Genomic DNA, 25,924 nt, shown 5'->3' with positions numbered 1-25,924 from the left:
ACCATTTTTCCAAGTTATTACAGGCTTCATAATTTTAAAAGACTACTTAAGAGTCCATCCACATTATGCCATAGTTTGTTAAGTCAGTACCCTAATGGCAAGTGCTTGCTCATTCTTGATAATGCTGAGCATGGTCTTTGAACAGTCCACATTGGCAGTCCCCAAATGCCACTGATTATTATCCTGTATTCTCAGCTGTAAAGTGGGAAAATGTCCACTTTAAAGAGGTAATGGTAAGATAGTATGTTTAACCCAGGCCTGCCTGGCACATAGAACTATTTTCCTTTTATTGGGCTGGAATTTCAGGATCAGAATTTCCTGAGCTCAGGAATTCAAGACCAGCCTGGGCAACATGGTGAAACCCCATCTGTACCAAAAATACAAAAAAATTAGGCAGGTATGGTGGCACATGCCTGTTGTCTCAGCTACTCAGGAGGCTGGGGTGGGAGGACTGCTTGAGCCTGGGAGACAGAGGTTGCAGTGAGCCGAGAGATTGTGCCACTGCATTCCAACCTGGGTGAGACCCTGATCTCAAAATACATTTTATGTGTGTGTGTGTGTGTGTGTGTGTATGTAATAATATAATAGATGGTAAGATCTGTGATGGAAGTAGCACGTGAGAGGGCAGTTCTAATTCAGGCCAAGAAAGTGTCTTTGAGCAGGCAACTTCTGAGCTGTTATAAAGGATAACAAGGGTTAGCCAGTGGGGGAAGACAGCATTTGAGGTAGAGATAACAGCATGTGTAAAGGCACAAGCCAGACAGCACAGGTCTTTCCACAATTTATTCCACGTGGCTTGAGACATGGAGGAGGCAGATTACGGGAGGGGAGGTGTTGAGAAGGGGTCAGTCATATCTTGGACATCTTAGGATGTCATGCTAAGGGGTGTGGATCTTACCCAATGGGATGGTGATAAAACGGATAGCCGAGTAGGAAGAGCAGCAGGGAGCCTAGTTAGAGGTTACTGCAAAAGTCCAATTAAGACACAGAAAGGACCTAAGATAACCAGGGAAAAATTAACACAGAGGGAAAAATTAATGGAGCAGTGGAGGAGGTTGACACGGGCAAGTGGGGGCTGGACAGGTCCTTGTGGACATCGAAGTACAGTTATTAGATGGGCATCTGTACCTACTCCCCTGGTGTTCTTGGGAGGAAAATGAGTTAGAGGTGAAGATTATGGAGCCATGAGTGGAGTCTGAAGCCACGGATGAAGTCATCCAGGGAGCAAGTACATAGAAAAGAGGGTAGACAGATGCAGGCATATGGGTAAGAGTCAGCAAGAGACGGAGTCTTGCTCTGTCGCCCAGGCTGGAGTGCAGTGGCGCGATCTTGGCTCACTGCAAGCTCCACCTCCCAGCTTCACACCATTCTCCTGCCTCAGCCTCCCAAGTAGCTGGGACTACAAGCGCCCGCCACCACACCCGGCTAATTTTTTTGTATTTTTAGTAGAGACGGGGTTTCGCCGTGTTAGCCAGGATGGTCTCGGTCTCCTGACCTCGTGATCTGCCCGCCTTGGCCTCCCAAAGTGTTGGGATTACAGGCGTGAGCCACCGCGCCCAGCAACAAAACCTATACTCTTAACCTAGCCCCCTGAGAAGCACAGCAAGCTACTGAACCTCTGTGGGCCTGTGTCCTGGTTATCTACTGATACAACAAATCACTCCAAAAGTTAGCATCTTCAAACAACGTTTTATTATCTCTCATGGTGCTGGGCTTTGAATGGCATCAGTGAGGCAGTTCTTACTTTGTTCTCAGACGGTGGCTGGGCTGGAGTCATCTTGAAGCCTTCCTCTCTCATGTCTGACATTTGATACTGCTGTCAGCTGAACATGTACACGTGGCCTCTCTGTGTGGCCTGGGCTGCTTCACAGCATGGTGGTTGGGTCCCAAGAGCTAGAGTCCCAAGAGATAATAAGTGGAAGCTGCTAGTGCTTCAGTCTGGGACTGGGAGACTGGCAGAGCACCACCACCATCATATGCTATTGATCGGTCACAGAGTTTAGATAAAGGCGAGGATAGGATAGAGATGCCACCTTTACTTGGGGCCATGCTTTTAAACCTCATCTACAAAATCTATAGAATAGACATAACCACACAGTGGATGCCTGTTTTTGTTAGCCAAGCCTTGCTCTCCTTTTGGGGATTCTCCCCTCTGTCCCTCTATTCTCACAGGCCCTATGGCCATGCTCTACCACTTCTTGGAACCTGCCCGAAAACCAGATTTTTTCCCCTTGAGTTGGGGTCTCGCTTTGTCACCCAGGCTGGAGTGCAGCGGCAGGATCATGGCTCACCGCAGCATTAACCTCCTAGGTGCAAATGATCTCCCACTGTAGTCCCCCAAGTAGCGGGGACTACAGGCACGTGTCACCATGCCTGGCTAACCGGATTCTCGATGGCAGCTTTTGAACCCAAGTCCCCATGTCTGAAGATCCCTGGACTTTACAATTTGTGAGCCAATAAACTTCCTCCCACTAAGCAGGACTGAATTCAGTTTCTGTAACTTGTAACCAGAAGTCCTTACTACACCTACTGAGGGTGGTTGTGGAGATTAAGTAAATGTAAAATGTGCTTTTTAACAGCAGGTGTTCAGGAAATGGTTTACTGTTATGGAGGAAGTTTATTATGAAGAATCTGGCTACTGGTGGAGGGATTTTGATTTGCCTAAAACCTCAATCAATCAATGATCTGGTTGGGATGAAAACCAAGGATGCCTGGCTCAGAATCTTTTGCTCTGCTTTGCCTTCTCTATTTCTGTGGTCTTGTCAGACAGGCCTACTGCATATAACATCCTATGGGGCAGGTTATGACCTTACGGGTCAACCTGGCCAGGGATGGCAAATACCTGACGCTCACGTGCCCACACTTGAATTCCATGCTCATAAGAGAAACTGCCAAACTATCATGTCAGTATTTCCAAACAGTCTGAAAATTGCTGCAGATCCTCAAAAGGCACTCCAGGCAGCTGCTACTAAAAGTTCTGAGTTGGCAAGTGAAATGAGTCCTGAGGTAGATTTTTTAAATATGGCCATATTTTGAAGCTCCTCCTGTTAAGAAGAATTTGGGCTTAGCCATGTGACTTACTTTGGCCAAAAGATACGTCATAGCAATATCCTCAAGAGCACTCGCATACTGGGCTTGTCTTCTCTTGCGGTTTTTGGAACTCAGCCATGATGTCTAGAATCCTGGGTCAGCCTGCTAGATGCTGGAACGTGTGGCCCAGTTGCCCAGCCAACCACCTGACAGGCGGGCGAGGCCATCTGAGACCAGCCAGTCCCCAGCTGATCTGCCAGCTCACTTCAGCCACACGAGGGCCCAGATGAGATAAGAACCACCACACTGAACACAGCCCAAACTGCCAAGCCACTCACTCAGGAGCTAATAAATGTTTATTAAGGCTACTAAATTTGGGGGTGGTTTGTTATACAACAGTCAGTAACTGAACAAAGGCCCATTTACTATCCCTGATCCAGATCAACCTCTCATTTTACAGCTGAGGAAACTGAGACCTGGTAAGGAAAAAGACTTGCCCAGGGTCATCAACCTGGCTGGCAGCAACAGGGGGAAAGTCCCAGGCCTCTTAGCTCACAATCCAGTATACCCACTGGCTGCTCTATTCTTTCAAGATGGCTGTGAGGATCACAAATGAGGCTTTCAATCTGAAAACATCTAAAGACTGATCCTTTAGGCAGAATCCGGTACCACATTTATCACCATCTCCTTCTGGAGTTTTCAGATGTTAGAAAAATGACAACTGTTGCGCAGCGGAATGGATGTTTTTGCTGCCCCGACTCAGAGGAAGGGCATGTGTATGCACTGTTAGAAGCCAACCTCCCACCCAAGGGCCTGGCTGTGTGCTTTCCCAGGGGCTGGAGCATCCAGGGGCTTTTCTGGAGTTCCAGGATGGGACTCTCGTTCTCCCTGTCCAGCATATGACCCGGTGCCAGCATGACCAGGCAAAGCCTTATGGGCCAAGGTGAGTAGAGCTGATGCCTGCTACCCTTGAAGGTATCTTCCCTGCTTTTCTCACGGTTCTCCAAGCCTGGCATACTAAGGAAGCCTATGGTCACAAGCCCATGATCAACCTGACCCTCAAGCTCTGAAACGTTGAGTTCCTCAGTAAAGCATGCTTGGGTAGGACCTGCAGCAGGCATATAGCACTAGGCTCTGGGGGCAGTGCCTAGTGCTATTGTGCCCTCAGTGTGAGGTTCATTCAGCTCTAAATCCCATTCTTTGGACTTTGCCCAAGTTCCAATCCAGGCTAGCAGCTGTCCCCCATGTTTCACAGATGGGGACACCAAGAGCTAAGGGCAGTAATGACTTGCCAGGGTATTGAAATGGGTCTGTTATAGCTGGCTCTCGCCTTCTGGGCAAGGAAAGATGTGGGTACATGGATGGGTGAAGTATGTTCCACTGAGAGCTCTTCAGGGAGATGAGGCACTCCTTGCAGACCTAGCCCCTTCCTCTGTACACCCTCTTCAGCTCTCCAAATAGAAGCCTTTTGATTTGACTAAGCTGGGCCAAGGCCCAGCCCAATTCCAAGGGGCCTGTTTCTCACCCCATGCCTGCATCTCATGGCCTCAGGGCCTCAGCCTCCACCATGGGCTCTTGACAAATCTCTACTCTCTCCCTGCTGCCCAGGGTCCATGGCAAGCAAATATATGGGGACCGTGATCCCCCTGGGGCAGCTAATACTCAGGCAATGGCCAAGCATGGATTGGGGCTTTTGGCTCAGGTATGAAGCCAGAACTCTGGCCACCTTGGGGCTGGCCTAGTCAGGCCCCAGCAGAGCTTGGGAATATCAAAGCACAGAGCTACACTGGGGCCTCAGAGTGCTCGCCTGCCCAGGATGACAGGCAGGAGGGCTGCTCAGTGAGAGAGACTTCCCGGTGGAGTTTGAGCACTGCCCAAAGCCTCCACCCTCTACCAAAACATGGAGCCAAAGCCCAGGAGGAAGCTTCCCTGGAGGCTGTAGACCGGGTTGGTTTGAAATGGGGAGTTTTCAATAAGGATTCCAGCAGATCTGCAAACTTTGATCAACACGTAAAGATGGAGGGAAAACCTAAAGCCCTTTTTGATGATGGGATTGAATTTTTCTGTGTTGGGGGAAGGCTTCCAGAGGAGAGAACAGGCAATTAAAGAGCAGTCGGAGGGTCTGGGAGACTTCTCAGAGGTGGCGACACCACAGCAGCAGCTTCGTCCTGAGCGGCTATTTCCCAGGTAGAGAAAGTAGGAGCAGGAGGAGTACGTGCCAGGCCTGGAACAAAGCCTATTTCTGGGTGCTGCCCTCCCACAGCTCCATACCAACGAGACCAGCCTAAGTGGCCACATATGAATCCCGCAGTTCACTGGACCAGGGTAGGTACTTGTAACCTATGAGTGATTAGGAAAAAAAATTACAGTGGCAGTCGATTCTCTCTTGGGAACTTGAACATGGGGAAAATGGATCCATTCATTGTGGGGAATGAAGGGGGAAGTAGGTGACATTAGCAGTACACAATGAGCATGTATAAGCAGCACACGTTTGAAGGAACCCGGCTGATTGTTAGAGAACAAATGTCTAGACGGGTGGCCCAAGACAGGGGCAGACAGGCTGCGTGTCTCCGGATGCAAACTTCCTACTGATTGCTGTCACTGGAGTACGCTCTATTCCTTGCTACCAAACCTGCCCGGAGTGTGAAGAACTTGTGTGTTTTGTGAGACTGAGATGTAGGGTTTGTGTCAGGGGCAGGAAAGGGGTGGTGACAAGAAACAGGAGAGGCTGGAGTAAGCAGGATCTTACACCCTACATTCAGGAGGTAGGGTTTTGTCCTGATGATGAAGAGTCAGTAAAGGGATTTTAGGCAGGGAAGGGATACGTTTCAGAAAGACTGCGTGGCTGCTGGGAGATGGTACAGGGCAGAGGCAGAAGACTGGGAGGCTGGTGGGAGGACAACGTCCAAATGAAAAAATTATAGTGTCCTAAGCCAGAAGAGAGAAGGTAGAGACTGGCAGACTCTAGAATCCTTTTAAGAGCTGGGAAAGACCAGACTTAGAAGCTGGGGAAAGAGATAAGGTCTTGACCTACTATGGGGTAAACCAAGTGGGTCACAACTGCTTGACACTTCAGCCAGCAAGATGCTCATGGGCCAGCATATCCAACCCTCCCCAGTGGCCCCACTGGCCATTTTAATCACCACTGAGGACACTAAGGTCCAGATGGATCAGTATTAGGCACCCTAGACCAGCTTTTTGGTTGGCAGAGGGGCCGGGATATCTTCATGAGAAAACACAAACCATCCCATCTCAGAACAGGTTGGGATCCAATCTCTTTATTGTCAGGGTCCCCTCCCTGTGGCCCCCCGCCAAACCTATAGAAAAAACCCAAGCCTGGGAGTGTCCTGGGGAGGGGAGGTAGTATGGGGAAACCCCTGTGCTCTACCCTCTGGCCTGGGCAGTGCAGACAGGGAGGGCTCATGGGGAAGGAGTAGGCCAGTAACTCCACCTGCAGAGGACATGGCACTGGCTGGGATGCGTTGGGGGAGGAGGCGCCTGCTGCCAGCTTTCCTCTGGTACCCGCTGGGGGGTGGCATCCAGGGTTGGGTGCCCGGCTTGAGGCCTGGGGCAGCGATGCCCTTCACCTGCTGGTGGCCATTGCTCCTGTCAGGCTGAGAAAGAGAGAGAGAGAAAGAAGAGACTAAGGCTGAGAGGAAGAGACCCTGTTGCTGATAAAAGGGGTAGGGAAGAAAGGGTGGAATGATGTCTGGAGACAGAGAGATTCTTGCACTCTGGCTGTGGCCTCATAATTTCCTGGCCATGTAACCTTGGGCAAGTCTCACCCGCTCTCTGAACCTCCATTTCCTCACCTGAGCCCATATAACTCACCTGTGAACTATTTTAACAAGCTTTGGAAAGCACCAGGCACAAAGGGGTGTAGCAGGATGGCTGGATATGGAGGTTTGTTTGCATCCCAGGCAAAACAAACCAAGAAGTTCCAAAAGAAGACTGCATATGTACAATTTTCTAAAGCTCTTCTGGAAGCCTTTGCTGGTGGGATATCTTACTACAGCATAAATGTGTCATCTATCCAGACACCTCCCTGGAAACACTAGTGTTTGAGACCTTCCTCCACCCAAGCCACCCCAAGGGAATGGGTCAGAGAGTAGTAGGCACAGCCAGGTGTGGCCTGGCTTTCCTTTAAGGTAGGGCAGAGTAGATGGTAAACAGTGGCCAGAGAGTGGGCTTTGAAGCCACACACCACTGGGCTGAAATCCAGGCTCCACCAACTACTACCTTATCTCCCTGCACCCTTTAGTGTCTGTTTCCACATCTATTATATTGGTACAATCATCAGCTTGTGGGATTGAAGATGAACTCAGAGAAAGCAGGTGCAGCTCCTGTCACACAGGGCATTTCCTCCCCATGAAAGAATCAAATCCCAGCCCCTAAGCCTGACACATACGGCCCTTCACAATCATCACCCTCTGACAATAAGCAGAGTCCTCTACCAACTAGGGGGGCACTGCAGCCACAGGAGGCTCTTGGCCTCACCACATACCAAGGACTGTCACAGCTCTGTATGGCTAAGGCCATTCCCCTGGTGTGGAACATTGCTCCCTCAATCACTAGCAGGCTCAGCTACACATCATCTCTTCCATGACCTGGCCTCGCTCTATTGTTATCCTGCTCACACTAGGTGGTAATGGCTTATGTCTTCCTCTACCAGACTAGGAGCTCCTCAAGGGCAGAGACAGGCAACATGGCTGAGTGTGCTGAGGGAAGGAACCCTTGCTAGGTGGGCCCGCCTGGCCCATCTACGGCACCTGCTTCCTCAGCATGGCAAGCCCCAAGCATGAAGGGGTGTGACGGGATGGCTAGATATGGAGGGGACTTCATTCTTGGGTATAGTCAGTGCTACTTGGCCAGGTATGCTTCGTGACACTTCCTGCCCAATCCAGGGAAAAGGCACAACCTCCACTTCACTGATTCCCCACCCTCTGCCCATCAGGACAGGACCCCTGTACCTGCTTACTGCAAGGCCCCATCATCCGCGTCTGTGTCCTGGCTGTGTTCCTGATAGGGAGGAGGTAAGAGAGACCACACATCACTCATTGCCAGCTCTGAGTCCTGCCCTGAGCCATTTGTCCAGAAAAACTTCATGGTCCAGAGGGCATCTAGAGGACACAGTCAGAAGACGCAGGAACAGCCAAGGGGAATGACTATGGGACCAGCCAACAAAGCTGGCTTGGGAACTTGGAAGGGTGGTCTGAGGACCCCACACAGGCCAGTGAAGGGTGTTCTGGGAGTGGCAGGAGCCCCATTTCTGTGCAGAGAGCCTGCACTGGAGAAGGCTGAAAGCCTTATAGACTGGTGAGCTCCCCATCTCTGGGGGCATCCAAGTCTTTGTTAGGGCCTTTATGGACACTGCTATGCCTGAGAAAATAAGATGAAGGATCAGGCTACGCTCAAAGGAGAGATGAGCTAGCATAAGGCAGACCTCCTAACCGTCATGGCCATGAGCCCATCTGTTCTCACGATAGAACCCAGCAGTGCTGAAAAGGAGAAAGCTGCAGATCCAGCAAGTCAGTCTGGACTCCAACCCTGGCTCAGTCCCTACGAGCTGATGCCCTGAGCATGCCACTCAGCCTTTCTGAGCCTCGATTTCCTCACAGGGTAAAATGTGGGAACAGAATACTCTGCATAGTACAGGGCTCTTGTTAAGGTTATGTGAAGTTAGAGAGTATGATCTGGGTCTTGGTGCTCAATGAGCGCTCATTAAGTAAATGAGCAGCAAGTGTACAACCCATATCCCACAGACTCAGAGTTTGGTCCACCCTCCCACTCAACATAAGCTCCTTGTCAAATGGCCTGCCGGCCTCAGCCTGAATAGTTCTAGTAACAGGCGGGGAGCTCACCCCCTTATGAGACAGCTTTTGCTTCATGCTTAAGCAGCAATGGCTTTTAGAAAAACCCACCTCCTGGCTGTGGCCTCCACAAGCCACCCCAGCCCTGCTCTGAAGCTCTGCAGGCCGTGTGTGCTCCCTTATGTCCGAATCTCCCATTCTCCAACTCATGTGGAAACCGGAGGCCAGAATGTGCCCGCATTTGGGGGAGGTCTGCCCTAGGCCTCAGTGGGACTTCTGATGGTGTCTGAGATAGGCAAGTGCCCCCTGCTCATTCTTCCCTCTTTCCCCCAGGACCAGAACCCCTGGGAAGGAGAGAACAGGAAGTTCACAGTGGGGGCAACCAGCTCAGGCTGCCCATTCCCCTGTTGGCCTCCTGAGAGTAGGAGCACAGTCGAGTCCCAGTCGTGCCCCTGGCCAGGCCCTCACCAGCTCTTCCTCGCTGTGTGTCAGGAGCCCTTCCTCATCGCCGTCGTCTCGGGTCCGTGCTTCCCCCTGGGGCAGGCCTGCCTCAGAAGTTGTGTTCTCTTGGGGGGCTGGTGGCCGGCTGCTGCCACCGCCACCGCCACCACCACTGCCACCGCCACCGCTGCCACCACCACCGCCGCCGCCGCCGGCGCCACCTCCATCACCCTTCTTCTTGCCATCTTGAGGGGAAGGGGTGGAGGAGGGGAGAATAAAACTCAGCCTGGGGTAGCTGTCTAGGGCAGCACCTTAGCGGAAGCTGGCCTCAGCATGGTGAGTGCAGGTGGTCCAGGATCTGCAGGGCCACCCTAGCTCCTCTCTCCCATGTACTATTTCCCCATGCTCTGCCCTGTGCCCTGGTCATGGAGGTGGGTGAGAATCCTCAGAGGCTGACCTGGATTGGCCTTTTGCTCCGCAGCGATCTGCTCCAAGCGGCTCAGCAGGGCATCGATATTGGACTTGATCTGTGTCAGCTCCGTCTTGATGGCCTGCAGCTCACTGCTCTTTACTGGGAGTGGAGGGGGGACAGGGCTGTCACCTAGGGGGCTGGAGGCTTGACACTAGCACAAAACCTCAGCCCTGTTCTTTCAACCAGGAAAGCAGTTATTTTTTGTTTTGTTTTGTTTTTTCCCTGCTTAGGAAAAAGGTCTCCTCCTTAGACTACCTGGCGTCCATCCCTACAGTGACAGCACACACTTCTGAACCTGGCTATCTTTTCTCCTGATCTCTCAACTCTGAAAGGGACCAAAGACAGACAGGAGCACAGGTGTGTATGTGTGGTGTGCTCTTCTGTGTGCACCTGAGCAAGAACATGTGTCTTTTGGAATCTGAATTCCTGGGTGATTAGTTAAGCAGCATGTGTGTACCAGAGTGAATGTGGAGTAATGGGCCTGGGTAGACCTGTCCTTATCCTTACTAGAGGAAAGATGGCACCATTTCTTCACTGGGCACCATATCCAGCACTGGACTCTCTGTGCCCAACACAACCCCTCCTCCTAAAACATCAGCTGTTTCCTCTTAGAAATGCATGAAAATACTTGGCTGTGTTAGAGCAGCAGAACTGTGGAAGACTTGTTGTTTTATCTATGTTCCAATGTAAAAAATGTGATTCTATTATTTTGCTAATGATAAAAATGCAAATTACTTAGGAATATGATACAGTCACTCACACTTGATCTTGGCTGAGCTGGTGGTGACAGCTGTGGAGCGGGCAAAGAGCTTGACAGGTACGTTAGTTTTGACACGCCGGACCAAAGGGACTGTGACCCGGGGTCGCTTCACAGGGACCGCCCTGGGCACTGGCACGGGCGACAGACGGCCCCGGTAGTCGAAGAGCCTGTGAGGGCAGATGGGCCAGAGGCTGCAGCATGGCTTGTGGCCACCAGGGCGGTATTGCAGCTCCGGCTACAAACGTGTGTGGCTGGTGAGGGGCTGGGAGGCCTGCACTACACACCTCTGCTGGCTCCTAGCAAGCCCTGGAGTGAAGAGGAAGGGCTTGCCGGACCCTGATGGCTGTTGGGATCCTCACTACCTCACTACAACCTCTCCAACCATCCAGGCCCAGTAAGGGCAGGCAAGGCATCAGGTGGTAGCAGTTATACCCCATTCAAAAGAGGAGACATCCCTAGGTCCCCTGGCACCCAGGCCTGCTCTATTACATGACCTGGCTTCTGCTTGGTCAACTGCCACCCCAACCTCTGCTCAGAGTTTGCAAATCTCAAAGCAGCACAAATCCCCAGCTAGGAATAGAGAGGTATGGGAGTGGGGGTCAACTGAGCCTACCTGAGCCTCAGTTTCCCCATATGCCAAATGAGGATGGCTATCCACATTCAGTGTCCACCCAAGGGCACAGCATGAAAGAATTCGGTTAAAAACACACTTTAGAACGTGTAATAGATGAAAGGTCAGGGTACTGAGACCCTCAATTCACGAACCCATGACCTCAGAGGCATAAGACTGAACTCTAAGCCCTTTCCTTACTTGACCTCCTTAATCACCACATCCTTCGTGCTCCATTCCAGAGACAAAGGCCAGGGGCTTGGTAGAGTATCAAGGTTGGGCAGCTCAATCAGACCCCCCCAGGGCTCCCAGGCTGTGCACTGCCCCCAACCAAAGTCATCTCCAAGCCCTCTCTAGGAGGGCTTCCTTTCCAGCTGACCAGGCAGAAACTCAGTAGGCTGAGAAGTGGTCTCTCTGACATCTGTTGCTGCCACCTTTTTCAGGGAATCGCAGCCCAGGGGGTAAACTTTGGGTCAATTTTCCTGACAACGGCCAGGAAACCTGCCATCACTGGGCAAAAGCCCCATTCCTTGGGGCTCCTTTGTTCAGGGAGCCCCTTCCTGGAGGTGGTGATGGCTGCAGATGGAGAGTCTCTGGGAATGGATCCGATCCCAGACCCTGCATTTCTGCCCCCAAGGGGAGGGAACGGCTCTGGCCTTGGTCAGAATCACTGAACCACAGAATCCCAGAGCTGGAGGAGCCTGGAGAGATCACTTGGTGCAAGCCCATTTCACAAACTGGGAAGGGAATTTGCCCAAGATCACATAATCCATTCAGTGGCAGAGCTGAGATTAGCATCTAAATCTTCTGACCCCCAGGCTAAGACACTTTCCACTACACCACACTGTCTCCTGAAACGACTCACAGGGGCGGGGTGGGGATGGGGGCGGACGACTCATGCTCAGAGAGGCACTGTTCTTCTTGGGCTGCCTGGGGTGGGCTAAGCTGGACAGAGGGAGAGAAGCAGGGAGGAGGAGAGATTTGAGTTAGTATCTACCATGATTTCTACTCAAGAATGTGGCTAGTGCTGTTGTAGTGGGAGCCCACAGCCTCTGGGCTGGAGTCTGGGTAGGGCTTGGGAGTGCAGGGTAGACCACAGCCCGCCAGGGACTAATTAGACTTCCAAATGGCTGCTGGCCTCTTGTCTCTAAATATAAACCCAAGAAGCTTAGACTGAGCTCTGGGGCTCCTACCAGCTGCTTGGGCACCTCACAGAGGGAAGGGCTCAAACTCCCTGCAACCAGCGCTGTACCCTGTTGTGTATTCCAACTAGCCACACTTACATAGCTCTTGGCTGTACGGTCTCCTTGAGCCTCACCCAAGGACAAGAAGGAAAAAGGGCAGTTAGCATGGCAGACAGTGTTGTATGGTGGTAGGAGCTCTGGCCTGAGCACCTGCAGCACAGGACCCCAGTCTCAGCTCTGCTACCGACTGGTGGAGCAACCCCAGGCAAACCTCTGGGTTTTGGTTCTCATTTGGAGAACTCAGTGGGCTGCACCAACAATCTCTCAAGACCCTTCCAGCTTGGCTGTTTCATGCCTGGGCACGCCCCTCCCCTGCTCACCTGTCGTAGAAGTCGTCCCGGTAGTAATCATAGTCAAAGATGTAGCCACTGGGGAAACAAAGGGGAGAGGGCTGGAGCTTAGGGACGGCCACTCAGCCCACTTTCCACAGGCCCTCATCTCCAGACACCTCCCCAAGTTCTAGATTCAGCACACTGTCACACCAGCATTTACTCCCTCTGTGGAAAGAGAGAGTCATCCCACCAGACAGACAGACAGTCAGACAGCCCCACCTGTATATGGCAGATGCTGCTCTCTTTAGCCCCTTGGGTCTGTCAGGCTTAGGCTCTCCAGCCATGTTGATGTCTGTGTGGAGGGAGAAGGCAGAGTTGGAATGCTAACATGACAGTGTGCCCACACACATCAACCTCATGCACACGCACAGCAATTCATGTGCTTACACGGTATACACATGGATTCTGCTCACTGATGGTGCCAACAAAGGTCTTCATACATCTAATCTTCAAACATTAGATTCATATCCAGGTATCACATGGATATGCCTGTTTATATGTCCATACACTTTCAGATCCATCCAGGCATGCTCATAAACATGTCCTCCCCCCCGCCCCACCACACACACACGTCGAATATTCCTATATGCATTCTCAAATACACTCATGTAAATGCGTAACACATCAGGTACATGGGAACGCATACACAGAGCCACACTCACACATACATTCACATATCCAGGTAAGAAACTCACACACAGGTAACGTGTATTCTCAAGTACACTCAGTATAGACAACTACCCACATGCAAATGAGCCAATGCACATTCACATGGATGTTCTACCAAACACCTTCATGCCTAGAATAGTCCTTACTACATGAAAAGGTCTCAATAAATACCTGGTAAATGAATATATGTATATCTGCTGACACATTCAAATATGTTCTCTCTCTCACACACACACACACACACACACACACACACTACATCTATACATACAAGGGTTGTGTCCACATATCTCCACATGTTCAGTCAATCCATATACTTCTTGTTCAGGAAAAAACACATACAGATACCCCTTTTCAAACATACACATATACACAGGAGTAAATGCACATGCATGAACACTGTACATACTTCAAGAGAGACCACTAGCATAGTCATATCACATGGACATGACACCAAAACCAAGCGTATTCACACTGTCCTTGTGCTCTCAGGCCCTCCTGCTCGCTCTCAGAAAGGGTTCTAACCTAAGTCATCTGTACCCGGTGTAACAGGCTGTTCTAGGCCACTCTGTTCTCTTTCTCTGGAGAATCTGCATTTTAACTGGAACTGTAAAGCCTGTCACTAAGAAGCTCTGAGAAAGCAGAGACAGGTCAGAAGTGTTTTCCAGAGGCTTCTAAAATTCTTCCCTATAGGGATTAATTTTATAACTATTTAAAACTTAAACATAGCTTATAAATTTATAAAATCTCAGAGCAGTGGTAGCGGTGAGAGAAAGAGAGAAGGGGGTTGAGAACTGGATAGTGATAGCAGCTATTCTAGAGAATACTAGGAGAATATAGTGAAGAGAGGCTTACCCAGGGTCTGCCCGGCCAGCACCCGCCCATTCTCTCCCAGCACAGCTGCCCGGGCATGGCGCTCATTGGAGTACTGAACAAAGGCATAGCCCTTGTGCACAGAACAGCCGGCCACACGGCCATACTTAGAGAAGATGGTCTCCACATCTGATTTCTTCACCAGAGCTGTGTTGAGGTTTCCAATGAAGACTCGAGAGTTGATGGACTTGGGGTCATTCTTGTTGGTTACATTGCTTGCCTGAAGCTTCAAGGACATGGTGCCCACCTGAAGAAAAAGAGCCTCGGTGAAGCTGGGTCCCTGGGCTGGGCTCAAGGACTGCCCACGGCCCATATCCTGGATAAATGAATTGCCTCTTACCTTCCTTAACCCTTATAGCATCCAGCCTACCTGTTCCTGCATCTTGTTTTCTTGTCATATTACCAAGAGTTGCCACATATTGGCTGCTGACCTCATGCCAGGTGCTTTACATACATTCCCTCATTTGTTACTCACATGATATGCAGAACCACAACATTTTACAAGGGAGAAATCTCACATTCAGAGAGACCACAATGTTAGTGAATGGCAGGGCTGGGATCTGACCCCCTGATCTGCTTGACTCTAATTCTTTTGAGTCTACTCCTTTAATGCTCATCTCAAATGTTATCCCATTCAGGATCTAAATTTGAAGATCTTCAATGTAGAACCATGGTCACATGGTATTTGCAAGTGATGTTTACTCTAGACCACCACCATATGATGAAAATTGCAGGGGCCGGGCATGGTGGCTCACAACTGTAATCCCAGCACTTTGGAGGCCGAGACGGGTGCATCACCTAAGGTCAGGAGTTCGAAACCAGCCTGGCCAACATGGCGAAACCCCGTCTCTACTAAAAATACAAAAAATTAGCCAGGCGTGGTGGCGGGTACCTGTAATCCCAGCTACTCGGGAGGCTGAGGCAGGAAAATTGCTTGAACCCAGGAGGTGGAGGTTGCAGTAAGCCACTGCACTCCAGCCTGGGCGACAGAGCCAGACTCTGTCTAAAAAAAAAAAAGAAAAGAAAAGAAAACTGCTTAGTCTGATCCAGACACAGACCTGTCTGAATTGCTACCAACCATTTTGAAAAGGGTATGCTAGCTAAGCCCGATAATGGTTTGAATTTGTGTCCCCGCCCAAATCTCATGTCTAATTGTAATCCCCAGTGCTGGAGGTGGGGCCTGGTGGGAGGTGACTGGATCATGGTGACTGAAATCATGCATTTCCCCCTTGGTGCTGCTCTCATGATAGTGAGTGACTGCTCGTGAGATCTGGTGTTTAGACGTGTGTAGCACCTCCCACTGTCTCTTTTCCTCCTGCCCTGGCCATATGAAGACGTGTCTACTTCCCCGTCGCCTTCCACTATGATTGTAAATTTCCTGAGGCCTCCCAAGAAGCAGAAGCCTGTACGGCCTGCAGAACTGTGAACCAATTAAACTTTTCATTATAAATTACCCAGTCTCAGGTATTTCTTTATAACAGTGCAAGAATGGACTAACACAAAGCCTCACCAGGCACTCGCTGTGGCTAAGGGTGGTATACAATACTGAATAATCCCAAGATCCCACAAGTTAATGTCATGATTACTCATATTTTACCAGAAACTGATTGACAAGTTCATTAACTTACTAGTAATGAGCATTCGAACACAGGTCAGTCTGTCACTAAAGTCTATTTCTTTCAACTTTATCATTTTGCTTCCCAGAGCTAAAGCCAATTTAGATACCACAGAAAGTCAGCACATTCACCTGAGAATTATTTTTAATAAATTTATTTTTTAGTTACCCATATTAATACTAACTCGTTCAAATTTTGTTCTGTTTGGCTTAGAGATGAGACTGCACCTACCCTTTGCTCTCTATATTCTGGCCAGGTCTTTTACCCCAAAGGGCTGTACAAATTTTTCCCGTACAGTTTACGGCTGGGCATAGGCTCCAAGAGGAAAGGGGAAAGGAGAGAAGCTCAATTTCAGTAGGAAAAGCCTCAAGTTAAGCCTTGGCAGTTCCCGGCCCAGTCTTCTGCTCATTGGTACAGGTTGATGCCACTCCCTTTTGGAACCCTCCTATCTCAGTAACCTAACCTTAAGGCCATTTCAGGTGATAAAAGACTCCAAATAGCATATATAAAAACTTTCATCAGTCTGCCAACCTATTTACCTAATATTTTGGGGGGACTTCTTTTCAGTGAACTGGAAAAGATACATCTGTATCTCTTATCCCACTAGGGGATAAGAGACTCTTTTTCTCTTAAATCCTCCCAGCCTGGAAGCTGGCACGTTCTGACCAGCAGGTGGTACTGTTTACAAGGGAATCATAGGCTGGACGTGAGCCCAACTTGGGAAGAAACTGCTCCCAGGGTTAGGCTTAAAGTGAACCCAATGGATATACTAGAGTCAGCAGTGCATTATCTCAGATAAAGGAAAGGGGCTGAGAGGGTCCCATCACTGCTACTGATGAAGGGGCTGGTGCCAGCTTTGGAACTGACTTGGAAAGAGACAGACTCTTGTTACTCAGTTTGCCTTTGGTTCCACTCATCTACACTTATCAGGCAGTGAGGGACACAAAGGTAGTAACACACTGTGCATACGAGGCAGGAAATGCTCAATACATGTTTTTCCCATGGGCTTGCCATTCCTCACAGTTCTCGCTGACAGTCCCTCTCCTACATGGATGACAAGCCATTCAAGGGTTAATTCCTTGTCTATCCACGGGTATACAAGAAGTTAATAGGGCCCCTGTGTGGGCATCAGATGATTCTCTCCTAGGTGGTTCAGCTCAAAGTGCTATAGTTTTGGCCTAGGGAGAAGCCACCTGCTTTGGCTAGAGGGAGTCAACCAAGCCTGGGGTGTGGATAGAGATACAAAGAGTGACCTCTACTGGGAGCCACAAGCACCACTGAGCAGGAAGCATTTGCTGAACAGCTGTTCGTGGTATTGTGACGAGATCAGGACTCACCTTGACTGGTGAGCCAAGTTTTTAAGGTTTGGCCCTGCCAGTCTTTTCTCTCATTCCTTGGGGTTTGGAATGATGTACATAAAAGGACTTTGCAAACCCTAAAGCCCTTCACAAGATCTTGTAATTACACTGGCTTGCACCTCTTTATTCCAATACTGCCATCTGCGAACCCCATTCTAGATGAGGGTAAAGGTCACAGTGGAACACATTCTGTATAATGCCAAGGAGGGGCAGCCAGAAGCCATGGCATATGAAGATCAGTTTTCTGATCTGTAGAGGAGAGACTTGGGAAGTGTATGTATGTGGTTGCAAATGCTGCTCTGGGTGAGAAATCTGCAGTTAAAAGGAGAAATGCTCACCTATGGCATGCGCTAGGTACCCAACCTCTTGAGCTCCTCGTCTAAACAGCCCCCTATCCACTTTCATGCCCTGTACACTCCTTTGGAAAGTGGGATGTGCTACAGTTGTGTGGACTCCCTCAGCCCAAGGAGACAGGTATCTGTGGGGGTGTGCAAAGGCTTGAGTGACCACACACATGTTGATGAGGCTCCTCTAAGTGAGGGATAGAGGTGGGAAAGGGAATGAAAAGGAGGTAGAGCCAGGCTAGGTCTCCCTGAACTGCCAGGTTCAAGTACAGAATCCTAATGAGTCCAAGAATTCTAAATTAAGACATGGTATTCCAGGTTGTTGGGAACATCACAATTTATTAGCTTCATTCAGAACCTTCAAATGTTTAAACATATGGTACATGGGTCTCTATTTGTACTCTTATTACTCTGCCCTGCAAATGTTATAGGGCAGGCCTGACAAAACTCGGGGCACAGTAAGTGTTCAATCAATGTTAGGGAGGGAGTGGTTAAACATATGTCCCAGGAGGTGGTCAGAAGGTCTAGCTGTGGGCTGCCTTAAGTGGTTAGGACCACTAGGGCAGAGGTCCCAGATACCATTTTCTAATCTTTCAACCAAACACCCACTTCCACAGACCAACTCAATCCCTCCCACCCAATTCTTCCTATGCTTTTCAAGGTACCCCCTAGCTTAGAGTGGCAGCCCTAGAAAATATTGACATCCATTCAGCAGGAGCTACTTCACTTGGTAAGCTATTTCCTGCCCTGGGCCAAGCTCTGCCTCACAGATTAGCTGTGTAATTGAGAGCAAGGTGTCTGCAGCCCCCAGGGGTCCTAGGTTTAGCAATGAGCTGAGGAGAGGTGGGTAGAAGGATTGTTCTTGGTGGCTGGGGGAAAGGAGAGAAGCAAATTTATTCCTAGAGACTTCTGCAATGTCAGATGAGCAGAGACCTGTGTGCACATGGAGCTTATAAATGCTCTTACTCGGAAGAACAGAAGAGAAGTTTTACCCACAGTAAAAACTTGGCCAGGATGCTACAGCTAGTGAGTAGCAGAGACAAGATTACCCCATGGGTCTTCTGACGCTAAGTCTAGGGTCCTTATATTCCATTTTTCATTTGGGGCTGGTAAGAGACAGGCCCCCAGGACACTGAGGAGCTGGGAGAGAGCACAGTGTCTCAAAAAAAAAAAAAAAAGAAAAAAGAAAAAAGCTACGTTTGAGAAAACTGGGGACTGGCTCCCCAATAAGTGCCTTCACCTTTACCTGCAGGAGAAACAATTGCTGCATAAAAGCTGGGCCTTTTAAGCTAATTAAAATCCACTAGTGAAACAGGCTTTGAAATGCAATTTACGGCTCAAAGGGATGGGCCTGCTTCTCCAGGCTAGTAAGAGTAGAAGAAATGTGGCAAAAACAAATTCAACAAAAAACAAGCCTGAACATGGAGAAAAGTGGCAGGGGTTTGCAAAGGTAGAAAAGCCCTAAAAGGTACCTCTGATCTTTGGGTAAATGAGACACCCAGAGAGCCGTCACAGTAACAACAGCCACTGGCTGGGCACAGTGGCTCACGCCCATAATCCCAGCACTTTGGGAGGCCAAGGCAGGTGGATCACTTGAGGTTAGGAGTTCAGGACCAGCCTAGCTAACATGGTGAAACCCCGTCTCTACTTTAAAAAAAAAAAAATTAGCCGGGCATGGTGGCAGATGTCTGTAATCCCAGCTACTTGGGAGGCTGAGGCAGGAGAACTGTTTGATCACCGCCACTGCACTCCAGCCTAGGCGACAGAGCGAGACTTTCCGTCAAAAAAAGAAAAAAAGAAAAGGACGGCCACTAATTACTGAATGCTGCACAGTATTACAGTATTTAACCCTCACAACAGCCCTGTGAGGAGGTGTTTGACATAGGGAAACTGAGATAGGTTCAGAGAAGCAAGGTAACTGGTTAATAGAGCAAAGCCAGAACTGGAATCAGGACCTCAAAAACAGGCACCTGCAGGGGCAAGATTGCACATGGCACAGGGATGCCTTGGGTTCTGACTTCCCTGGCAAGATTATGTTACCTTGAGTCAGCCACACACGCTCTCCTTGGTCCTCACCCTTTCCCTTTTCTACTACAATTCCTCACAGTTGTACAGAATTTTAGTGAACAAAGCCAGTTTATATCTCTTATGGTATGAATGTGCCTCCTCCACCAAATCTGTGTGTTGAAACCTAATCCCTAATGTGATGGTATTAGGAAGTGGGGCTTTGGGAGTGATGAGGTCCCAAAGGGAAGGGAAAGACCTCAAGAATGAGTTTAATACCTTTAAAAAAAAAAAGAGCCCCAGGCCAGGAAGTGGCTCACGCAAGTAATCCCAGCACTTTGGGAAGCCAAGATGGGAGGATCCTTTGAGGCCTGGAGTTGGAGACCAGCCTAGGCTACATCATGAGACCCCATCTCTACAAAATAAACAAATAAGAGGCCCAGAGAGCTACTTTGTGTCTTCTATCATGTGCGAACACAGTGAAAAGATGGTTGTCCATGAAACTGTAAGAGGGCTCTCACCAGACATCTGTTGCCCAGGCTGGAGTACAATGGCACGATCTTGGCTCACTGCAACCTCCGCTTCCCGGGTTCAAGCAATTCTTCTGCCTCAGCCTCCTGAGTAGCTGGTACTACAGGTGCCCGCCACCACAGCCAGCTAATTTTTGTATTTTTAGTAGAGACGGGGTTTCACCATGCTAGTCAGGCTGGTCTCGAACTCCTGATCCACCCTCCTTTGCTTCCCAAACTGCTGGGATTACAGGCATAAGCCACTGCACCCATCCCGCCCCATTTTATAAATGAAAAAAAAAAAAAAAAAAAGAGGATCAGCAAAGATAAGTGACTTACTTAAGGTCAACCAGCTGGTGAGGGGAGTGTAGCTAGGGGTCCTGAATCAAGGCTTCTTACTCGACACTCTCCATTCCACTGTCTCAATGGCTGTCTTAACACTCTAAAACTCTGCCATGTCACCCCTCATGTGCTCCAAATCCTATCAGATCAAGTCTAGTCTCAGGCACTCAGAGAACTCTGTAAATCCTCCCCAGCACTAAATCTCTTCCTCCTGAAATACTCATTTCAAGGGAGGAGCTGCTGCTTTAGGTCTTGATGCCCCCAATGCTATTTATAGTCTCTGTCTTGGTTCAGTCCTGCTGGACCCCTCTGGCCTTATTCTCCTGCATGGGGATGAGGGTCACAGCAGCCTGTGGCCAGCTCTCTGCCCTTAGATAACCCTGGGGACATCCGGGTGGTTCAGAAGGAAAACAGCTACTAGTGATGGGAAGACTATTTCTGGAGAAAGTCAAGCAATTAGACTCATCAGTGTCCAGGGCCTCCTTGGTCCAGAGGCTCCTGCTTTTACCAGGCGGCCAGGGATGACAGAACATCTATTAATCTCATTAAACTGGCCAAGCCCTGGTTCATTAGCAGTGCCCAAATGATTGTTACTGGCCAGACAGGACTAATTTCCCAAGGAATGCTCTTTAGTTCCTGACCATTCCCACTCTCATGAGTCAGCTCCCTGCATGTCAAACAGCAAAAGCTCCTGGATGGGTGAAGTGTAAGCAGTGCAGGCTACAGGTCCAGAAGGCTTGGCCTTGGCTCTGCTGTTCTTAGTCATGTGACCTGCAACAAGTCATTTAACTTCCCTAGGCCTTCTTGTCTTTAATCCGAAAACAGAAATAATCTCTTCCCTGATTACCTTTCAGGTCTGATACAAGAATCAAATAGGCTAATTGATGTGAAAGCGCTCTGTTGCATCTGTAATGTACTATCAAAGAATATGGATTATGCCAATTTCTATTATTACCCACTTCCTATCTCCTTCACTCACTTAACAAACATTTCTTGAGTGTCCTCCTCTGTGCTGGCACTGTGGAGATGCTGGGAAACACCGTGCTCACCAGTCTTCTGCTCTACTTGCTTTTCAAGAAGCCCCCTCTCTGGGAACCTGTTTTTTAAAAACGATTTCTTAGTAACAAAGGACAAATGCACATGAAATAGCAAAAATAGCTCAGGCCCTAGAGTCCGACAGGACTGAGTTCCAATCCGAGACCTATCACTTGAAACTGTAACTGTGGCCATATCCTTTCACTTGCTGGGCCTCAGAGTCCTCAACTGCAAAACGGAAATTATACCAACCTCCCAGAATTAGGATAAGAACTGGAGATAATATGAGTAAAGTGCTAGTATAATGGGTGGGACTAGCAGGTATTAAGAAACTGGATAACCCAAATGCTCTATGAAAACAGATGAACCTAGCCTGGCACTCTAGCTCCTCCACATCCCAGCCCTAAGATGGTATGTTCTTTACTATGTCATCTCCCTGTGCATCACACTTTGCCTGAGAGTAAGGGAGTTGGGGGTAGGGAGTAGGGAGCCTATGCATGCTCTCCCTTGTCCTAGTATCTGCAACCAAACCTAGAAACTTCACAAAGGTGTCCCTGCCCCATTCCTGTCAAACCACTACTGAATGGGGCTGGGAGAGGACGGAACCACCAGCCAAGAGGGGTTCCAGCTTTGCTGAGTCATTCTCACCCCTCAACTGTACTGCGCGGTCCTATACTACTGACATTGGTATCCATATCTAATGGGCCCTGAGAGGATACCCCAAAGCAGAAACAGAAGGCAGGCCTCAGTTATCTCCCCATAGCATGCTCTGGGTATATAATCCCACCCTCCCTGCATCTTGAACACTAACTCTACTCTTGTCTGTGGCCTTAGGCTGAGGCTTACCATCTGCGACAAGCTCCCCTTCATAGTTCCAGGAAGGGGACAAGTTAAGGAGGGATGGGTAGGTAACTTATGCCTATAATCCCCGATACTGAGTTAGAATTGAAGACCTACAAATGATTGTCAACCTCTTTATTTTTTGCCAAATAAGTCATCCAAACACAGACTTATCCATCTGATTGTAATTATAAATATCCAAACACGGAGCTAATTATGGGCCAGGTATTATCAAATAACTAACTAACCAATCATTTATTTATTTATTTATCCAGCGGTTGGTCTGGGACCTCAAGCAAATCCCAATCCAGCAGGCGACATCTACCATGGCCACAAGGCACACGTGCCCTGAGATGGTCTACTCCCCAAGCAAAGTAGTCTGAGAGATCAGAGAAGGGGTAGGAGCAGCACGGAAGGCTCTACCAAAAGGGAGAGTGTTTAAGAGGAATTCCCATTGGGTAGTGACACCAGAAGAGGCCTGGCAGGAGGGAGGAACAATATACAAAATGTATCCCTTTCTCCTCTTTGATCCCCTTATTCTCCTCTTCCTCCTGTACATAGAGCTGGAAATAGAAGTTTGAAATACAAGAATGTCTTCACTGCTGTCTCCTGCTTCCCTGGATAGATGCATACTTATTCTTGCCTTGAGGGAGAACAAAAAGGGAACATACAATTTAATATGTAGAACTTTATACCAGGCACTGAGTTGAAAGCTTTACAGGCATAATCTCTTGTAATCCTGATCACAATCTAATGAGATATGTAGTATCATCTGCACTCTACAGATACAACTGAGACTCAGAAACAGCTTAATTTGTCTACAGTCACATTAAGTTGCATGCTTTGGACCGAAAGACCCAAGGGCTTGTCTGATTCTAAAGCCTGTGTTATTCCCATTCCACTAGATTGCTCCCACTGAGCCCCCATCCACAGGAAGAATGGTCTTGGCTTTGCTGACATGCCATATGACCTAGGTTTTAAACCATGTGACCACAAAAGGTACTCCAGGCCCAAACATGTGATCATGATAACCATCATCAATACTTGTGGAGTACTTACATCCCAGGAACTGCACTAAGCCTTCTGCTATGAGATAGTGATGATACATGTTGTGACCATTTCACATACGATGAAACCAAAGCTTGGTGTCTGGTCTTGCTCAAGCCAGGAAATGACAGAGGTAGGATGAATATGTGCGAGACCAGAGCTGGTCTCATAATCTTGGCCCAGAATGGCTTCAAAACTGGGCATGCCCTGTATCTGCCTGGAGGTCAGTTTCTTCCTCTACCTCCTAACACTGATCCTTTGAGCATAAACTCACAGGGCCTAGCTGAAGGCATACTCTCAAGTCCAAGAGCCAATCAGCACTTGCTGTGAGCTTTGGGGATGGCCCCCGCCCCATTCCTATGCCTTAAGAGTTGGCTCCTCACACTGATAATGTGGCAAGATTAGTCACTGCTTGCTGTTGGTTGATTATAGCTATTCTGTTCTGTAAATGAAGTTTAAAAGTCATCAAAGGGTTTGTCAGCTGTGACTTATGAGCCTCTTTCCCACAGGGAAGTCAGGCAGTGACAAATGCCCCTCTTGTTTTGCCATCCATTACAAGTTGGAAGGTGCCATGTTCCAATTACTGGAAACCCCGATGGAGCTCAAGGAAAACCCTGCTCCAGGCTATGGCCATTACTCAGGCCTGGCAGGGCTGCCATAGGCCCAGGCCCAACTGGGTAGGAATGGAATAAGAGTGTTCTTCTGATTTTGTGAGCAGGCCCCTTCTACCCCTTAATTTGTGTTATCCCTGGTGGTTTATCCTAGTCACATTTCACAGACAAATAAAAACATAGGTATCATGTGGGCTGTCTGAAAGTATGCAGGATCAAGACTGCTTATGACAGGCAGACATAAGGAAATAAGGTCATGCTGTCCTATGAACTAGGTAGAAAATATGATGTTGAGGAAGGGTGGGGAAGGCAGAGAATAAAGTATGTAGGATGTTCAGAGAAAGTAGAGAGTAAAAGGAGCCTTACAGATCCTCTAGAGTAACCAATGGCCTCAGTACTGAATACTCATTATATGCCAGGCCTATCTAGCTAGGTGCTGTGGAACCAGAGATGAATAAAGTCCCTGGTTCCTAGGATATGCCAGGCCTATCTAGCTAGGTGCTGTGGAACCAGAGATGAATAAAGTCCCTGGTTCCTAGGATATGCTGCATGATCTAGGGAATAAAAACCTAGGTCATGTGGCATATCCTTGAGGGTAAATAAGAAAAATTAAGTCTCAGAGAAAGGGACTTGCCCAAGGTAACAAAGTAAGTTAGGGTCAGTGATAGAAAAAGAAAGCAGATCTTTACCATTAGTGATACAGAGAAAGTACAGTGACAAGGGAGCCCTCATGTGGAACAGGCTCCTTACACAGAACATGCCACATAACTCCCATTCAAATTCTACCTACTTGCTTACTTACCACACCTTTGACCTCTGGCAAGTCCTATAACCTATCCAAAGTTTCAGAAAACTTACTACAGAATTGTGGAGAAGATTAAATAATACACATACAGTGCATAGCAGTAGGCCAATCTTAAGTACTCAAAATATTATTTACCATCAAATAATCCCCAAAACAGTACTCTGAGGCAGGTATTATTAATCTCATAATCAAAAGACTTAGGTTATTTTTCACACTGTCACACTAACTAAATAAGTCAGTACTTCTCAAAACTATTTGTGGTGAAGAACCAGTTTTTTTCTTTTGTTTTGCTTTTTAAACTTCACTTTGAGTAACACAGCTCTAAGCCACTCTTGCCCAACTGTGAACTTCTATGAAACCAAAGCAAAGAAAACATGAAGTTTACTTCATTTCTTTCCAAGTCCTTCAGCCTGATTGTTTTTAGACATTGGTGTCAGACTAATTTACAAAAAACTATCCAATTTTTTTCCTTTTCTTGTCTCTCTCTTAAGAGAGAAGGGGATAGGGAGACTAAGGACTTGCCACCAAACACTTCTAATGGTGCTTTATCTTGGTCTCTGCTCTACGTCATGCTACATCCTGCAAGGGAAGACAATCTAGGCTTAATGGGGGGCTGGAACCACTTTCCTGAAGCCTGGGGGTATATTCCTGAAGAGTCTGGTATTCCAGACCCTCTCTCCATACTTTGACAAACACCAGGAAACCAGCCAGGAAGGTCAAAGGGAGAAGAAAAGGTTTTCTCATTTTCTGTCTTTTATCATGGCTGTTTACAAACCAGTCTTCTCTCTCCATCTAGGGAGCTGAGAGGAATGGACACCAGATTCATTCCTGAATGCTACTGTACTTACCTAAGACTATGACTGGGCAAATTGAGTAGCTCTTAACCAGTGCTCAAAGGCACAATTAGTGCACCTTCAATCTTCCATGTGCGTCGTCAAATTTTCATCAGTGTACAAAACTGCTTTTTGCTTTGAGCTTATGTAGTGTTTTCTTTCAGCATAACTCAGAGCTGAGTGGGTCATATGACACAGTATACAGAGAGGTAAAGCTTGCTGTGTGTAGGAGTTAAATACATGGCTTGACATCAAGCAGGAGCCAAAGCCTGAATCCTTACTCCTGTGTGACAGGACATGGAATGTCGTCAGGAGATACCTGAAACCAAATGCCTTCAC

The 25,924-nt window shown here is 48.5% G+C and overlaps 1 protein-coding gene across 8 annotated transcripts in view, besides 1 other annotated feature; it reads right to left on the bottom strand.

Moving 5' to 3' along the window:
* Window positions 1–1,669: 1,669 nt before the first annotated feature.
* RALY (RALY heterogeneous nuclear ribonucleoprotein) overlaps window positions 1,670–25,924 on the bottom strand; it is a 90,974-nt gene continuing 66,719 nt past the window's right edge. For 2 of the 8 annotated variants that reach the window (XM_011528695.4, XM_047440015.1), the window contains exons 3-11: window positions 21,394–21,510; window positions 14,224–14,488; window positions 12,919–12,991; window positions 12,688–12,735; window positions 10,514–10,680; window positions 9,739–9,852; window positions 9,309–9,526; window positions 8,001–8,049; window positions 1,670–6,644 (exon numbers count right to left, since the gene is read on the bottom strand). In XM_011528695.4, coding sequence (XP_011526997.1) covers window positions 8,005–8,049; window positions 9,309–9,526; window positions 9,739–9,852; window positions 10,514–10,680; window positions 12,688–12,735; window positions 12,919–12,991; window positions 14,224–14,479 — 921 coding nt within the window. In that variant the 5' untranslated portion in view covers window positions 14,480–14,488; window positions 21,394–21,510 and the 3' untranslated portion in view covers window positions 1,670–6,644; window positions 8,001–8,004. The remainder of the gene's footprint in view (window positions 6,645–8,000; window positions 8,050–9,308; window positions 9,527–9,738; window positions 9,853–10,513; window positions 10,681–12,687; window positions 12,736–12,918; window positions 12,992–14,223; window positions 14,489–21,393; window positions 21,511–25,924) is intronic. The other 6 variants (NM_016732.3, XM_005260334.6, NM_007367.4 and 3 more) reach the window with 4 other exon arrangements.
* Window positions 8,955–10,154: an enhancer, noted in NCBI's record as "CDK7 strongly-dependent group 2 enhancer chr20:32664206-32665405 (GRCh37/hg19 assembly coordinates)". NCBI's record gives its function as "activates an origin of replication core promoter dependent on BRD2, BRD4, P300/CBP, MED14 and CDK7 cofactors, with strong dependence on CDK7, by STARR-seq in HCT116 cells {active_cell/tissue: HCT116}" and the evidence as "EXISTENCE:reporter gene assay evidence [ECO:0000049][PMID:35650434]".

Source organism: Homo sapiens, chromosome 20 (assembly GCF_000001405.40).
Source record: "Homo sapiens chromosome 20, GRCh38.p14 Primary Assembly".
NCBI lineage: Eukaryota > Metazoa > Chordata > Mammalia > Primates > Hominidae > Homo > Homo sapiens.
The sequence above is the reverse complement of the archived record's forward strand: the minus strand, read 5'-3'. Positions and strand labels throughout refer to the sequence as shown.